At 35.2% G+C, this 19,271-nt stretch overlaps 1 long non-coding RNA gene across 3 annotated transcripts in view; it reads left to right on the forward strand.

Annotated features, from left to right (window-relative positions):
• Positions 1-266: 266 nt before the first annotated feature.
• LOC105376987 (uncharacterized) overlaps positions 267-19,271 on the forward strand; it is a 108,868-nt gene continuing 89,863 nt past the window's right edge. For 2 of the 3 annotated variants that reach the window (XR_940644.2, XR_001740620.2), the window contains exons 1-3: positions 267-376; positions 771-911; positions 1,995-2,142. This is a non-coding gene — a long non-coding RNA (uncharacterized LOC105376987). Of the gene's footprint in view, positions 377-770; positions 912-1,994; positions 2,143-8,340; positions 8,559-19,271 lie in introns of those variants that run through there. The other variant, XR_001740621.2, reaches the window with a different exon arrangement.

The raw sequence follows: 19,271 nt of genomic DNA on the forward strand, positions 1-19,271 counted from the left end.
GAGTAACCTGAGTTGCTAGGGGGAAAGAAGTTTAAGTCTGACAACTCTAGTAAGTGCTCTAAATCCAAATATCCAGCAAGAGATTTGTTTTGGGCAATACTAACTACATAGGTGCGTGTGAACTAAAAAAGTTACAATTTGGAGCCTATAAGTGGCACCACATTAGGAGCTGTGTAGGTATATGGACCTTGTATTATCAGGTAGACAAATTTCTGAAGGACTGTGCAGGATTCTGCTTCAATAATGACAGCAGTATTACTTTCACCAGGCTCCAGATTGTTCTACTCCTGATGTCAGGAGGAAGCTGATTTACCTTTGGAATGAGATAACCTCTGGGATCCCTGAACAGTTAAAGGGCAGACGGAAATAAGGCTTGGTGAGAACTGATGAGATTCCTGCTAATAAGTCAAGATGAATTTGCATGATTAATTAAAGAATTATTAATTAAAGAATAAAGAGATGGCATATATTTGTTCTCTGCATCTGTGGCTCATAATAGTTACACAGAGTAGTTTGTAGAAGTTTTTTTGCATACTTTGTGAAAGTCCAATGTTGTGACATCACTAAGTGAGATCGTGCAGTTAAGGGTACTTAATAAGGTGAAAATATACACATGAAAGAAACTTTATGATACATTATTAGTATGAATTTAAAATTTACATAAGAACACCTAAGAAACTATAATAGTAGCAATTACTCTTGTGAAACTATTTTAAATAATCTGAAAGAAGTAACTTATCAACAATATTTTCCTAATCCTTTCCCACAAGGCAATGAAGATGGACAAGGAACATATGCCAGTGCACATCTATTATAAGCCATTTATCCCAGACTGTGATGCAAGTGTGCTTAAGTCTGAAATGCAAGTGACTCGTACTTACAGGCAAAATACATTCCAGCTGAGGAAAAAAGTAAGACTTTTATTGTCCTTTATGACCTGTTTAATCCTGTTGCTTTACATTCATTGTGGATGTCTCTGGATGGTGCTAAAACAGGTGAAAAGTGGAAGATTAAATCACATTCAGTCAACCACTTGTTTTGCTCATACTGTGCCAAAAATAAATATGCCATTTAAATATTTTCACCAAGTTTACGGATTTTTTTCTCTATAATAGTCTTTATTATTTCCTTTCTTTTTCTCATTTTGAATACAATTTGCTTGTCTAATCTAGTTTCCTTTTGTTTGTTTTTTGAGACGGAGTCTCACTCTTGTCACCCAGGCTGGAGTGCAATGGCAGATCTCGGCTCACTGCAACCTCGGCCTCCCAGACTCAAGCGATTCTCTCACCTCAGTCTCCTGAGTAGCTGGGATTACAGGCACCTGCCACCATGCCCAGCTAATTGTTGTACTTTTAGTAGGGATAGGATTTCACCATGTTGGCTGGCTGGTCTGGAAATCCTGACCTCAGGTGATCCGCCCACCTCGGCCTCCCAAAGTGATGGGATTACAGGCGGGAGCCGCCGCGTTCAGCCTGTCTTATCTAGTTTCTTAAGGTAGAGGTTTAGGTTTATTTATTTGAGATCTTTCTTCTTTGCTAATGTAGGTGTTTACAGCTATAGATTAACCTCTTAGCACTGTTTTGTTACATTCTATCTATTTTGTTGTGTTTTACTTTTCATTCAACTCAAGTATTTCTAATTTCCTCTGTGATGTCTACTTTGACCCATTAGAGATGTTAAAACACTTGAGAAAGTTCTGTGACCCACTCCATCCACAATGGAGAGGTGTTTGGCAGGAGGTGAGTTTGAGTGAGTTCAAATGATGAGTTTGATATTTCTCCCTGTATTACCAGCAATATGAGCTGATATACTCAAGACTACCACTGAGCTGGGAAGTTGGAGATGGGACTAGTGTAAGTTAAAACATCAGAAATCTCACTGGTCTTATGGATACTCATTCATTTTTTTGACTCAATATGACTTGGGTTGCTGCAAAGCTTTGATTAATTTCCAAAGTTTTGAAAAGTTGATTCTGACCGTTTTTTTTTTTTCAGGGATTTTTGTTGCTGATTTAATGGAGTGACAGCCTTTCAGAAGTCTTTAAATTCACCATTTTCACTGATGTCACCCTGTTACCAGAAAGGAGTCCTAATTCTGACCCCAAGAGAAGGTCCTTAAATCTCGTGCAAGAAAGATTTCAGGGTAAGTCCACGGAGTAAAGTGAAAGCAAGTTTATTAAGAATTAAAGGAATAAAAGAATGGTTACTCCATAGGCAGAGCAGCCCCAAGGGCTGCTGGTTGGCTATTTTTATGGTTATTTCTTGATTATATGCTAAACAAACAAAAATGGATTATTCATGAGTTTTCTGGGAAAGGGGTGGGTGATTCCTGGAACTGAGAGTTCCTCCCATTTTCAGACCATATAGGGTAACTTCCTGACGTTTATAAACTGTCATGGTGCTGGTAGGAGTGTCTTTTAGTATGCAAATTCATTACAATTAGAGTATAATGAGCAGTGAGGATGACCAGGGGTCACTTTCTTCACAATCTTGGTTTTGGTGGGATTTGGCCATTTTCTTTACCTCCTGCTGTTCTATCAGCAAGGTCTTTGTGACCTGTATCTTGTGGCTGACCTCCTGTCTTATCCTGTGAGTTAGAATGCCTAACCTTTTGGGACTGCAGCCCAGTAGGTCTCAGTCTTATTTTACTGAGCACCTATTCCAGATGGAGTAGATCTGGTTCAAATGCCACTGACAACCCAAACATTTTTTTAAAATGTTTAGACATACAAAAGGAGACAGGTAGACATATAAAAGGAAATTCCAATAACTTGGTCTCCAACTTAAAGTAAGTATGTCTTTATTGAACACTCATGTGATTGGAAATGTGGAAGGGCTTTTAATGTATTATTTAATTATTTTAACACCTAAAAGGGGTTGGTACCATTAGTCACTCCCATTTTACAGATGAGAAAGCTGAGACTGAGAAAATGAATTACCTGGCCTAGATGTCAAAACAAGAAGGTTGACTTTGAGAGCCATTGCTTTTATTAAGTGTAATATTAGGTTATCTTTTAAAAACTCAAGTTAGGGAGAACTGAAAGTCTTCAAAGAGAGTAAATAACTCCTCATTATGGTGGTTGTTGAGGGCATTCTTACATCATATAAACAATTGGTTTAGAAGATGTCAAAGATGTCTTGAGCATTCACTATGCTCTAATACTCTGCAAAACTTTACCTATAACATCATGTTAGACAAAACAACTTTATGAGATACTTCTATTATTTTCATTTTTAGATGGAAAAATGGTACTTGGAAAGTTTAAATAGTTACCTAAAATCAGTGCCATAGATAAAATTTAGTGCAGGCCTGATTAAATTTTTGACTAAAGTATCTCATTCTCTTCATTACTAATCATTGGATTTAGTGATGCCATTGGGAGCCACAAAAATATGTCAGACTGTTCTCTCATATGGTAACTACTTTCCTGGAAACAGTTGAGGGAAATGAGTGTATGAAAATTTTAGTCTTTATATTGATATTAACTATCATTCAGTTAGCACCTACTGCATGCTACATTCTTGCCATGCATTATCTTTAATTCTCTTATCAACCCAGTAAGGTGGGTATCCTGATTCCCTTTTTTATAAGATAAAACTAGAGGTCAGAGAATGTAAGTATTTTCTAATGTCACACAGTTAGCAAATGACTGAGCTCAAAATCAATTGCAGGCTTATCTGATATCAGAGTTCAAGCTTTTCCCATTGTGCACAGCTGCTTAGTCCTTTTGTAGACAAAGTACTTGGGAGATATTGTAGGTGATAAAAGGGCATCAATGGCACACAATGGCAAAGCATTATACTCCTGCTAAGACTTAATTGAATGGCCATCCATCTTTTTGAGAATAATTGCTATTTTGGAAGCCCAACATGGAGAATTTCAAACTTAACATAAAAGAAAAGTTATGTTCCACTAAGAAAATAACTTCTCACACACCAGGAAGTCCTCAGATATGGTCAAAAATGTACTAGTTAATTCTTTTCTCTTAGAACCTAAAGAAAAGCAGCAATAAAAGGAGACATTACTTTCATGGACCTGCCATTACTGTGCCAATCCTCAGAAATGAAGCTGGTTCCTATTAGTGTTTTGTTATCATGGGTCACCTCTAATGTTTCCTAATACTGTGCAAGGTTTCTGGGGCATAGAGAGCAGAAAATCCAATCCCAGACCTCAAGAAGTTTAAATTATTTTTCTGCATACATAAAGTTATGTAACATTTCTACAAAATCGTAAGATAATCTGGATCTGAGTAAAGAACAATCTGGTGTTCTTCCTTTGTGTTTTTCAATGATTCATAGCCCATGACTTTAAACCTCAGATATAACAAATGTAACAAAATGGAGAGATGGAAAACTGACTCTTATATCCATGATAATTCAGTTTCTTATAACAATAACAGTTATCGCTTGATGACTAATTACTGTGCTTAAGACATTATCCTAGTTTTACCTGTATTATCATGTTTAATCTTTAAATAGCCCTCTTATGAAGGCATCAGCATTACTTACCTTCACTTTTAAAATTAGAAAATTAAAACCAGAAGGAGTTAAGCAACACACATGAGATCATACAGCAGTTGGATATTAGGGATGGGGTTTGAACCCAAGAATTTTATCACCCAAGCCCCCTTTAGACTACTGCATTACATAGCCTGGCATACAAAGCCAATGAAGTAAAATATGTACTATTAAATTAAATGATGAGGAGTCCCGTACCAGCAGTATAACTCCAATATGAGTAAGGACATGATTAAAACAAGTTACAAAATAGGGACATATATGGAAAAGTATTTGATGTCTATGGGATGGAAAAGAGTTAATACCTTTTCCATATAAAATGTATTTAAGATAAATAATAAAATGATAGACACACATTACAATAGACAAAGGCAAAAAATAAGCATGCTTAGTGGCCAATAATAGGTTTAGACTCTGATAATTAAACAAATGCAACTCAAAATCTGAATGAAATGCTAATTTAACCTATCGAAATAACAAATTAATTTTAAAAATTAATTTTAAAAAATAATTTAAAGTTTTGAAGACTGTATGGGGAAAATGACACATTCATACCCATACAATAGTTGTATTACACTTATGCAAAGAATGACAGAATAAAAGAAACATATAGTAAGCAGAAATGCAACTATTTATATTAAATGAAAACATAAAATGCCAGTGACTAGGGGTATAATTAAATAGGCTGTAAAAGTAGACATAACTAGAACTCAAAATCTGAGATCAGCCTTGTAGATATAGAAGTAAAGACATTGTTCTTTCCCAAAAACTTGTGAGGTATATTCTCTAAGACCTAAAATATGTTTCCCATTCAAAAATTCATATATATATGAATATGCATATATTATATGTTTATTGCATATATAATTTTTCATGCAATGTTGTACTGTTATAAGTTTTAAAATATCAGGCCTACATCAAATATAAGTTACCTGGCTATTGAGAATTGTTCTGTATTACATTGCTTAGTTTTATATAGTGATAGAATAAGCTTGAAGGGACAGAGAACAAATTTGAAGCTAAAAGTGTATGTTGTCACTTTTTAAAAATGTTGTTTGATCATAGAAGTAATTGCATTACTGTTTTAAGATGAAAGTCTAATTGAATCCTTCATATGATTTAGAATGAAAAGAAACTTTTAAGTGTCCATTAAATCATTCAAATGTACTCACTTGTCAGCTCAAACATTACCTAGAAAGAGCTATATTTTCTCAGTTCAGATATCAAATCCCCTTATTTGCAGATATTTTCTTTCTCACCACGGAAGCGCACTTATATGCTTTCTTAAAGGGCTTTAATGCATGTTTTCAAATTTGATTGTCATAATGGTGTAAACAAAGCAAACGTAATATTCACTGTTTTAAATACTAGGAAACTGAGGCATAATGACTTTAAATTGCTCTAAGGCTCACAGAATGTTGGTTACGGAATGTAACAAAGTGGTTTTTTAAAAATTTGATGGGGAGAGTCTGATTGCTTTCTTTGCCTTTTATGGATAGTCATTGAACTGTATTTTTGAAAAGGTACTCTCTATTCATTTGTACATTCATTTAATAAATAACTTGCTTTAAATTCTATTAGGACAATTTGACCTTTCTTTTCCTTTCCTACTTTCTCGACAAAGTTGCCTCTCTGAACAAGTGTTTGTCATCATATATCTGACCCCCAGCCCCTACTCTGCAGGAACAGATGAAACACCCTGTGAATCTCTCAACACTATGTTGTCCAACACAAATATAATGTGAGGCCTCTATGTAATTTAAACTTCCTAGTAGCCGCATTTTTTAAAATAGAAAAAAAAGGTAAAATTAATTTTATTAGTGCATTTTATTCAATCTAATATTCTAACTTACAATAATATAAACATTATTAATGAGATATTTTGTACTTTTTTGGTACAAAGTCTTTGATATCCCATGTATATTTTATACTTACACACATTCAATTTGAACTAATTACACTAAAAGTGCTCAATAGCTATATGATTGAACAGTGCAGTCTGAGGGCAATTGGGACTTCTTATTGACTATTTTGACTCTTGGTTAAATAAAATTGAAATAATTTCAGACTTTAAGTGGGCAGTTAGGAATATATCTGCTTTCAAAGTTACCAAGGAAGCTCTGCTAGTTAACTTTATTCTCATACTCTATTATTTTTCATACATTAAAATGTGAACTTCTTTTAATTGACTCTGTGGTTTGTTGTTGTTGTTTTTGTTTTTCTCCTCACTTTGTTCTGACCTTCTTCTTTTCCTTTTCAGTAAGATTTGTCCTGTCTCCACAAGGACCAGGCTTAGAATAGGAATAGTAAATGACCTATCTGGAGAGTAAAGAAATGTTCCTCTTCCCCTCAAATTCCTTTTCTCTTATTGAGGCCTGATTTCCACAGGAGTCTCTTCATTTCTTTTCTTTATTATGTTATTAGTCTGCTAACTTCAATAATAGATAAATTCCAAATTTCAGTTTCTAAACCCCAAATCTACTTCTCTCTCAGATAGTATGCCAAATTCAGGCTTATTTTCAGCAAGGACTCCGGCATGGGGGATTTGAGGGTGGGGTTTCTATTCCACAAAGTCATTCACACACCCAGCAGACTATGCCTTCTGGAACATATTGTCTCCATGATAGTCCTTTAAAACATTAGCGTTGAATAGACAAAGAGCAAGGATAGAGAAGGTACATACACTCCTTAATTATCTTAATCTGGGAAGCAGTACACATCATTTTTACTTATGTTTCATTTGCAAGAACATTCACGCAGGCATCAGATGCAAGGGAGGATGGAAAATGTATCACTGGCTGCTCAGGAAAAAGAGCATAAATCTTTGGTGAACACCAACCCTTTTCTGCCACAAATGTTAATATCTTTTCAACTGTAAATCTTGTGGAGGATTTACCTACCCTGAGAAAGCTGCAGTGAAAGACTAGAGTTATAGAGACCTGTGTTCAAATTTTGATTCCAGTACTTGAACAAATTAATCAGCCTTCTTGAGTCTAGTTTTTTCCATCTCTATCAATATGGTTGGGAGTGGTAGCAAAGATTGAAACTGTTTTTCCAATACCACTATCCTCATATTCTTTATAAAGTGAAATCCAGTTTCGTTTGGGTGGGCAATTCATCCATCTAAAAGCTGCATTTCCTGAATAGGGTTAACATGTAATATATTTTTTGGTCAATGACAAAACTGGTAATTAGTTTTTTTTGGTTTAGTTTTTGATTGTTGACTGATGCTTCTATATGAGAGTGTGAAAAATTTTAAGTTTCAGTTTCTTTTTTAGAGCAGTGGGAGTAAGTAAGTTTACACTGAATTCCTGAGGAATCAAAAAAGTTGTATACAAAGTAGGATAGATGTGTTATGCTGCAGACCAAACTATCCAATTGTCAATGGCCTATTTCAACAAAAATTTATGATTCACATAAATTCTGTGAAAATCAAGGTGATTTTCTATGACAACTCTTTTCCATGCCGTAGATCAATGTCGGGCACTGAAGATGCACTTTCTTTCCCTCAAATTTAAAGATTTCCAGGAGAGCTACACAGAGACCTGTAATAAGGTGGCCTGTGTCTAAAGTGTGCAGACACTAAATCTTACTTGAAAAGGCAATGAAAGAATGTTTAAATGTGTGACTGTATCTCTAGTTTTTTCCAGTTTTGTATACTGTTTTCCAATTTCTTAATATATGATAAAGTCTAAAAAAATCTCTTTTCAGATTTAAAATGACTATTAATAAGTAGGTTTCTTTTGAAAATACATGAGCACAATTATTTTCTTCTTCACCACCAACTCTATTCTAATTGAATAAAAATAATTATCTTTTAAAGGTCTCAATGCGAAAGCTGTCTCCAAATTGCTGTTTTCTGAAAGCCGCCAGTTAAAGGGCTACATCTTGCCAAGGTAGACTAATAGAAGTCAAATTCCATTGTAAAAGCAGAACTGAAATTATACCTCGTGCACATCTGGCAACACGTCCTTTTGTACATAAGAAAGGCATGAATAAGATTATGTCTTGAATAAATTATCCACTGATTATGACATTTAACTGGCTGTCGTAGGTATTCAATTATTTAATTATCTGCCAAAATTCCGTGCCAGATGTTTCCTGTGTCCAGATTTCCATTATGTTACATTTTATTAACAAATTTGCTTCATTTTGAGGGTCCTCACTTAACATACTTGGGCTTGATCAAACTATTTGCTTTTTTCATATTTAAAAACCCAAACTTACACATAAAGCCATCTGAATAATGCATGAAGAGAGTGTGTGGATTCAAATTCATTTGTCCACATTACAGCAACTGTTTGTGCTGGCCCAACTGCTTACTTTGCATGCAGATGTTAAATTGTGCATCTTCGATCTTCTGTTTATAATGCAAAATGACAGTTTGACTTGATTTTATCTAGCAGAAATAACTCAGGCATCCACACTGGTAAATTTGACCCAGAAGGTTTTATGAATATTTAGCAGTGAAACCTGTGGATGAATTAAAATGCATTTTCACAATTTCTGTATATAAGCGTGTACATGTGTGTTCATCACATAGAGTTTTTCAAAAACTGGAGGTTTTCCTTCTTGAGCTCCAAAGAGAAACAATTTTCTCTATGAATCAAAAGAGTATAAATAACACTGTTTTTTCCTTTTGGTTTTACCTCCGACTAGAAAATAGCTGTGAGCGATATGCTCAGGACTGTACGTATCTGCTTTAGCAAATGTAAAGAAATAAGTTCTTTGAGTCTACATTTTTATTTATACAGAAATTCCTGCAGGATTTTACAAGGACTTGTTGGTCTCTACACTTCTTGTGATAGTAAATGTAACTCCCATTGAAACTAGGAAAAAACCTTGTTCTACAAAACAAGTGACTTTGAAAGCCTTTGATTGCATTGTCCAATGCTGTGTCACAGAGCAGCCATACACTGACACCCAGTAATTAACATAAAAGCAAAAATATCTCAGTAGAAATGCCAAGAACACAGGGAAAGAATGCGTGAAGAAAAGAACATGTTTCATAAATATACAGTTCTTATTTTTGATAAAGCCGGAGTTCCCCACAATTGTTTTTCCAGTGTTCCTTTTCTACTTAAAATTCTAACTAAATTACTTCAACATTTTCAAAAACCTACTTGGTCTTTCTGCCACATGTTCTGTGTTCTGAGCCCTCCACCATCTACTCTTCTTTGTCAAATCTAGACCCAGCTGCAGGATAAAGTCTGTAAGACCTTGATCTTATCATCTACTATTCCTCTGTGGGGCCTGTGTGAGTTTAGGATGGGGAGTCATCTTTGTAAGGCCCAGATAAAGAGAGAACCATGTCTAAATAATTCACTTAGCTGTTGGGAATTCTTCACTATGGAGCTGGTAACTAGTTTTCTGACCTTAGCTTCTGCCATATTTTATTCTCTCCCTTCTCCCTATCCACATCCAACACTTCAATACCACTCACGTAAACGTTATTCTCCTGAATAACATATACTGCTCCATTTGCAGGTCGGTCCTTGTCCAAATTTATATACCTAGACTTAAGTCCTCATTTAATGTCACCAATAGGTTCTTGGAAACTGCTACTTCAAGCAAAACAATGTACAGAAGGTCCTCAAATGACTTTGTTTCATTCAACACAGTTCAATTATAATGTTGATGAGAAAAAAATGTTTCGTTATACATTGTTTTGCTTAAAGTCAGTTTCCAAGAACCTATCGATAACACCTAGACCTACAGTATGTATGAATATACATATATACATATTTTCTGTAATGTCATTTCCTGTACTACTTGTCAAAATACAGACATTTTTATAGATCTGCTTATTATATCCAGAAACTGCCTGCGTACACCATTACCCCCACCAATCCCAAGCTAGAATATGTTTTTTATAACCATATCTAGCACATATTTTTTTACCTCATTATGTAACTATGTTTCACTGGCCTATCAGAAGTATCTTACTATAGTATTAATTGGAAGCTTCTGCATAGTAGAACCTGTTATGCTTTCCTTTGTACTGGCTTTGCCACAACTATCAAGATGCAGAACACAGGATATTATGGTAAATGTTTATTAAAGTTAAATTTAGATCATTTATTTAATTAACATTTATTAGCCACTTATATGTTTGGTGTTTGGCTGAGCTTAGAATGCAAATATGAATGAAGCACAGAAACATAAATTATAAAATGTAATTTGCGGGGAAGTAATGAACTCTGTTGGTGGTTGAGGTTTCCAAGGATATTCTGTGTAAACTAAATCTTAAAGCTTGAATATGAGAACATTGTGATGAGGGCATTTCGGGTAAAAGGAATAGTGTAGAAAATGATGTACAGACAGAAACATGTGGTATAATGGACATTACATAATGGTAAAACAAGAACACCAGAACACCTGACTACTGTAAATACACCCAAAACAGGAGCACCCAGATACATAAAGCAAGTTATTAGAGACCTAGAAAGAGACTTAGATTTCCATACAATAATAAGGGGAGACTTTAACACCCCACCAACAGTATTAGACAGATCATCAAGGCAGAAAATTAACAGATATTCAGGATCTGAATTCAACGCTTGACCAAATTGACTTAATAAACTCCCTATTCAAGAAATGGTGCTGGGATAACTGAATAGCCACGTGCAGAAGATTGAAACTGGACCCTTTCCTTACATAATATACAAAAATTAACTCAAATGGATTAAAGACTTAAATTTAAATCCTAAAACTATGAACAACCTGGAGGATAACCTAGGAAGTATAATTCTGGACATAGGATCTGGCAAAGATCTCATGGTGAAGAAACCAAATGCAATTGCAATAAAAACAAAAATTGACAACTGGGACCTAAATAAACTAAAGAGCTTCTGCACAGCAAAATAAACTATCAAAAGAGTAAACAGACAATCTACAGAATGGGAGAAAATATTTGCAAACTATGCATCTGACAAAGGTCTAATATCCAACATCTATGAGGACTTTAAACAAATACACAAGGAAAAAAAAAACAACCCCATTAAAAAGTGAGCAAAGGACATGAACAGACACTTTTCAAAAAAAGACATATATGCGGTCAGCCAGCATGTGAAAAAATGTGCAACATCACTAATCATTAGAGAAATGCAAATTAAAACTACAATTCGATACTGTCTCACACCAGTCAGAATGGCTGCTCTTAAAAAGTCAATAAATAACAGACACTAGTGAGGTTGCAAAGAAAAACCCTTATACACTTCTGGTGGGAATGTAAATTAGTTCAACCATTGTGGAAAGCAATTTGGTGATTTCTCAAAGAACTCAAAGCAGAATTACCATTCAACCCAGCAATCCATTATTGGGTATATCCCAAAGGAATATAAGGTCTTCTATCATAAATACACATGCACATGTATATCCATTGCAGCACTATTCACAATAGCAAAGACATGGAATCAACCTAAATGCCTATAAAGAGTAGGCTGAATAAAGAAAATTTGGTGCATATATGCCATGGAATACTACATAGCCATAAAAAAGAATGAGATCATGTCCTTTGCAGCAACTTGGAGGCCATTACCCTAAGTGAACTAATACTAGGACAGAAAACCAAATATTACATGTTCTCACTTATAACTGGGAGCTAAACATTGAGAACATATGGACACAAAGAAGGTAACAACAGAAACCAGGCCTACTCCAGGGTGGAGGAAGTGAGGAGGGTGAGGATTGAAAAACTACCCACTAGGTACTATGCTTATTACCTGTGTGGTGAAATAATCTGTACACCAAACCCCTGTGACATGCAATTTACCTGATTAACCTTCACACGTACCCCTGAACCTAAAATTAAAGTTAAAAAAATAAAAATAAAGAATTTATTTCCACTGGGGCATTTTGTGAAATTATTGTTTTACAGAACGAATTGTAGGAAATTCTAGACTTGGGCTATATTTATTTGGTAAAATCCCCAAAGCCTAGGGGTTAAATTTGAGACAGTATGCCTCAGTTTCTGACTTGAATGGGGGATGGATAGTGGTGCCATTAATTGTGATAGAAACTTTTGAGGAAAGAAAATTATTTCATTCTTGGACATGCTAAATTTTGAGTTGCCTATGTAATATCAAAGTAAGAAAATTTCTGATAACTATCTGAATATGCACCTGAAGTTTATCAATATGTTTCTTATATATGTGAGTAGCAATTGAAGTTTTATGAATAGAAAAAATATATACTGTCTCAAATTCTTCAGCATAGATTTTGATTGAACTTCCTGTCTGTCTAACTGAGGGCAGTTGAGCCTTGGGAAACATCCTTTGCGAACAGAGTTGGATGATAGTTTCCAACAAAATGTCTAAGATGGGGAAATGAAGGGTTGGTGCAGACTTTACATTTTTAACATAGCTGCTCATCTTACATCCTCTGTCTGTCTCTATTGAAAAAGGCACCTTTGAAAAGCACAGATACACTCCTTAGAGTTTCGGGGTGGATAATGAGTGTCAGCCTCCAGCAATAACTGTGATGTGTGAACTTCAGGCAATGACATGGAATCTCTCAGGTCTCTCTCAGTTTTGAGAGCAGGGATTGTTGTTATTAACTTCAGCATAATTTGAAACAAGAATCTGGAGCTAGCAAAACTTGAGTGGTCATTATGAGCTTTATGAGCTACAAAGATCTGTAAACCTAATTAAATTTATATTTTTAACAAGGTCACAAACTCAAACAGTTCGTATTTTTAGATGGAGCAGCATGAACTCCATGTACTCCGGAGCAGCATGTACTCCGCAAAAGAATGACTCATAAAGACCATCTATTAAACATCCTTTCTCCCTCTTAAAGGCTGTTTCTGTCTTGATCTCTCCATCATTCCATGTCAGAATGTAACCTTGAACTTCCTTCTTTCTTAACCAGTGACTGGCCTGTAAATGTGACAAGAGAAATAGTAGGCAATGTTGCCAAGCTTGCCATCATTTCAGTCTGACTTATTGAGCCCAGCCATAGGCACCGGGATCACTGGTTCCACATTTTCTTAGTATGTTTTCAGGGAATAACCATTGGAAATGCTAATCTCTTGATGCAGAAATAGAAACAAATAATGGTGAAATAGGGAAGAGAAAATAGTGAAGCACATATAGAAAAATATATAGAGTGCACTTGCCTAGAGAAATACATTATGCAATTTTTCCACCACAGATTTATTTAAGTTTAATTACATTTAGAGCAATCATACTGAATGTCTGAAATTATATTACACTTGTCAATAAAAAACTCATAGCAACAGGAGATTCTCAGGCAAATCAGAATGTTGAGGTCTTTCAATGAAATTAAGTGGGTTAAACATTTTCTCATGAAACTTGAAATATCTGATCACTGGGTATGTGGTGGCTTAAAGATGACTATCAAATTCTTTGCCACAGTTGTGTAAAGAAAAATAATTAATCTGCCCTTCCTTTGATTTTTTTTTATTTTTTTTTGCCATGTGACTACTCAAACAGTAGAACATGGTAGAGATCACATTGTGCTAATTCCAAGTTTAGCCTCTAAAATCTCTATCAGCTTCTGCTTGTTCACTCTTAGAACAATTACTCTTTGGATACTACCTCTCAAAATCCATCTGCTTCTCAGAAACCAAAGTTACAGGGAGAGACTGAGTGTAAGTTCTGGTCAACAGCCTCAGTTAAGCTCCAAGCCAAAAGAACATGTCATCTGTCAGCCATGTGAGAAAGCCATTTTGGATGTTCCAGCTCAAATAAATCCCAGATGATGCAGCTGTAGCTGACATCACATGGTGCAGAACTACCCAGCTGGCTTTAGCCAATCCTTAGAATCATGAGAAATTATAAAATTATTTTTAGCCATTAAGTTCTGAGATGGTTTATTATTATGCAGCTATTCATAACTGAAACAGATAACATGGCTTATTCTTGGGGAAAAGTACATTCTCAACTCTTAGAGGTCATTTAGTAACCCAGAAGAAAATTTCTATCCAGTAATGCTAGTGAGAAAATAAGGAATAGTTTAGTATCCCTCTTATGACATAAAATAAGTCAATGAGATTCATGATTACCTGCCCTTAGGGGATCCCAAAACACATGTTGGTCTGTTATTTATGAAAAATAGAAAACAATTGTGTTTAGCCAAAAAGATGTGGAGAAGTCAACTGGTGCAGGCTCTCATTGGAATATGATATAATATTTTAGAATTATGTAATTAAAGCCTTATTGTATCAAGGTTAACTGTAAAAGATGCTTGGATATGCAACTGTATTTAGAGTATAATTATAACAATATAAAATAAATAAGGCCAAAATATGCCTAAGAATAAATGCCTGAGGGCAATGTTCAAAGGTATACGTTAGCTCCCTTGATGTGCCATTTGACGTGCTTAATTCTTAGGGCAAAACAAGAGCAAGTAAAATTCCATGGAGGAACAAAAGAGAGGACAGCTAGATCTCTCCTGGTCAATCAGAGATGATTTCATTGAGGAATTTTTACTTGAATGAGTTTTACAACATTAATGAAAATTGAACAAGTGCTCAATGGAAGAGAAAATTCTAAGCAGAAGTAGCCTCTGAAAGGCACAGAAGGGGAAATAAAAGAGCAAACAGCGCTAAGTGAGAAACTGAGATTGTTCTGGTGCAGAATTTGTGGCGGGAGGTAAGAGATAGGAAGCCAGGATAGAGTATTATGGGCCAATCTACTGAACTCAGTAGTTCCATTTGGATTGATTTCCCCTTTTCCTTGAATGCTCATGTTGCTGTGTGTAGCTATCAATTGTGACACTAAGTTAATTATGCTTTGTATTGTAGCTATTTGTCCACATTTTCACATTCTATCCTAGACCATAAATTCCATATACCTGGAGCAATTGTTCAACAAATATACATGTGCTCATCTAGATTTCCCAGGTTCTCTTTGGCTTTTTAAGATTTTTAAAATGACTTTGGGACTCTGACTCTCTAAGAACAGAAAGTGAGTTGAGAATTTTGTGGTTCTAGAATAAACCACAAAATTCTAGAGATGAGCTACTCTACAAAGCCCAGTGCAGATCATGGTTAAGAAAGAAAATGAAAAATGAGGAGGGCAGAGCTAGGGGACAATAGACAAATAAGAACTTCTCAGAGAGCAGAATCAGAGCCTAATTAAGGGATTATCTTCCCATTCCTCAGAGTCGGAGTTTCTTATGTCTACCTAGTGGGATTTAGACTTATGTTCCAGCAACTGCTGTATGTCTTCTATTCTTCCCTTTTCAAAATAAGGGTGCGTGTTGTAGTTATCCTATTGCAGCATTACACATTGGTGTGGAGGGTAAGATAACGAGCAATATTATTCTATGATCTCAAGGCTGTGATGTGCTACCCCAGTAAGATGAAGAAAGTGTCACTCCACACCCAGAGATGGTAGACTTTGAGGATGCAGCGTCTGTGTGGAACTTTGTGTTGTCTCCTTGTAAGGGGATTTTTTAAAATAAATGTTTTCTTGCAATAGGCTTTTTTTGAAGTGAAGTAACATATCTCTGGCCATGACCTTCTTCCAAATGTAAGTGTATCAATTATCCTACCATCCAGCCAGAAATTGCTTTATCTTCCTTGTTTTGCAATCCTAGTCCATAGGGTTGTCAGTTGCAGTCTCATAACTTGAAGTGTTCTCTTGAACATTCTATATATAATTGAAGACATTTGACATCTGTTTTACTTTTCTAAATTCATGCTAATACAATATGGTATAGTGCCATGCATTTTAAGGAAGAAAAAAATGGAAATTCAAGCATGAAAATAGCAAAGATAAAAATAAAAGAAAAACATAGACATTTGGGTTGCATCCAGTAGTTTCTTGTTTACTTGTTTTGTGCTTTGTGTTTGTGTACATGTATGTATGTTTTGTTATGTTTTGCTTTTTGCTAGTAAGAATACATTTACTGAGAAACTTCTTGTTTGAGACTCTGATACTCCTGAGCAAGATTTTTCTCCCAGTGTAAGTTATAGAGCTAGGGTTGACAATGCTGGAAATTAGTTGAGTGAAAATAATTAATTCAAATAGAGTCTGAATGTCTATATGGTATGTATATGATACAATTTTTGTAAAGCTTAAAAATAAGCATAAATGATATTCTATTTAGAAAGAGCTTATGGGGTAAAGTTGTTTAAATAAATTATGGAATAACAAACGTAAAATTTTAGATAGAAATTGCCTCTGAGGGAACGTAAGGGGATATAACTAGGCAATAGTAGCATATGATTTTCACTGGAATTTGGTAGTATTTTGGTTGTTAAGTTGGGTGGTGGGTTCGTGAATGTTCAATTAATCACTATAATTCACAATTTCCATACTAACTACATAAAGTTTTGATCATATTAAGTGAATATATTTTTTATAATTCAGAGGTAAACAACTACTTCTAAAGTATAAAGAGCCAGCAAGATATAATGAACTCTGAAGAAATTTTAGAGTTCACTGACTAAAAAAAAAATGTATTGTCTATATGTGTTTTATTTGAATTTCAATGTCCCTACAAAGATAAGGAGACTCTGTGGCAGATGGATCTGAAGATGATACCTGGCGATTTCCTATTCCCAGTGTGCATGGCTTTGGGTATTCCCCACCTCTGGAGTATGGGTGAGAACTGTGACTTGCTTTTAATCAATTAAATATGAGAGTTCACTTCCACAGTTAGTGTAGATTACATGGCAAAAAAGATGGAGTGTCACTCTTGTGATGATAAATGTGACTCGTGCCTCAGCCTCCCAAGTGGCTGGGATTACAGGCGTGCGCCACCAAGCCCTGCTAATATTTATAGATATAGTATTTTTAGTAGAGACAGGATTTTGCTGTTTTGGCCAGACTGGCTTGAACTCCCGGCCTCAAGTGATTTGCCCGCCTCGGCCTCCCAAGGTGCTGGGATTTCAGGCTTGAGCCACTGTGTCCAGCCTCAAATCTCTATTTTAGAGTTGTTATTAACCTTTGTGAAACAGAGAACTGTAGCCTTTCTTTTTCTTTCTTTCTTTCTTTCTTTCTTTTTTCTTTCTTTCTTTCTTTCTTTCTTTCTTTCTTTCTTTCTTTCTTTCTTTCTTTCTTCTTTCTTTCTTTTCTTCTTTCTTTCTTTCCTCTTTTTCTTTCTTTTTTTTTCGATGGGGGTTGGGGAGACAGATTGAGAGAGCACGAGAGCGAGAGATTATGCACATTTGTGAGCTCTTTAAAACTAGCTCAAGAAAGATCCTCAGAAGACCAACATCCTAGAAATCAGTACCAAACACAACTAGTGTAACATAAATAGCTTCCTTTCTTAAAAACAGCTATTTGAAGAAAGTTAGCTGTCAATCAAAAACAGTTTTATTTGATCAGACAGAGGCAAGATGCTATGGCTGTTTAGCCAAAGAAAATGACATTATAGATACATGTAAAATTCCAACACATTGTGTAATGTAACAAAACTTAAGCTGTCTTCTCATTATTATTGTTATTAATTTAGATCTATATTCTACTGACTTAGGTGAGAAAATTCTCCACTTACCGCTTTGAAAGTTAACCAACTTTCTATGGATTGTTCATTTGTTTAATAGTACAAGCAATGAAAACATGTTTTACCATAGGTCTTAAGTATGTAGCACCTTCCTCCACCAGTATTTAATCATAGACCTTATACTAAGGCATACAATTTTAGGTATCCATGATAAAATAGAATAAGTAGGATCAAAGAAGATTGTAAACTATCCTTAAACTATGAGATATTTGAGGGAAGGGATTGTACCATATTTATCTTTATCTCCAACTTTTGAGAGCACCTAGGACTCACAGGTCATTGTAAAATGTTTCCTAAATTAAACAGAAAACCAACTCATAGTTATTTTGTGACACTGAATCAGGCACAAAATAACTCTATTGCAGGAAGTTTAACCAGTATTGATAGCCAATACTTGCCGTGAGAATTGGATGGCAGTATTTAGAGCTGAATTTAAATGTATATTATTTGAAAGATTTCCTACTCTTTTCAGTTTGTTGGGACCTTAAATGAGAGTTTTGAATCGGTGTGTAACTAAAATAGGGAAAAACATTTAAGGATCTGGCTTGAAATGCAGATGTTTGGGATTACATCTAATTGCTTCACTGCTGCTGCTATTTTTGTCGATCTGCTGAAAGAACGTTTGTAAATGCTGGAAGAAAGCCTAACTTAAAAGGGTTAGGCTTCTAAAGTGCTGTAATCTACAGTCCAGTAAGAAGTGACAAATTGTAAGCAAAAGATAATCTCTTCCACTTACAGAAATGCCAGACCAAATATCATCTGTAGAAAGACTTCAGGAACTTTAATATATTCATGTTAATGAAGCAGAATTTAAAAATAGGCATTTATGGATCTTTGGAGTCCTGTTGCTTTCTAGATTTCAACTGTGCTGGTTAGCAGGTCTTTTCAGTCATAATCTGATGGAGTACACGGAGGCTCTGTATTTTACAGAGATTCATGGAAAGCCTATAATGTGGAGGTGAGCCAACACCCAGTCTCCCAACTTTTTGCATCTTCTACACAATGGAAACCCACAGCTTGTGAGGCAAGGGACTTTGAATACATTTGGAAAGTTTTACGTTCTAGGTAATAGAACATAAAGTGACTTTAAAAAAGAAAAAATTTAAACCACATATGAGTTATGAAGGTACTCCTTTAAAAAAATCTCAATTATGTCAGGGTTGTGGGCATTTTTGCTTACCTCTAGTCCTCCTCTCATAGGTACAAAATAGGAGCTAGCCTCTACAAAGGACACCACAATATCATATTCCAAACAAAAAGTGGATGCAAATAGAA

This window comes from Homo sapiens, chromosome 3, assembly GCF_000001405.40.
Source record: "Homo sapiens chromosome 3, GRCh38.p14 Primary Assembly".
Taxonomy (NCBI): Eukaryota; Metazoa; Chordata; class Mammalia; order Primates; family Hominidae; genus Homo; species Homo sapiens.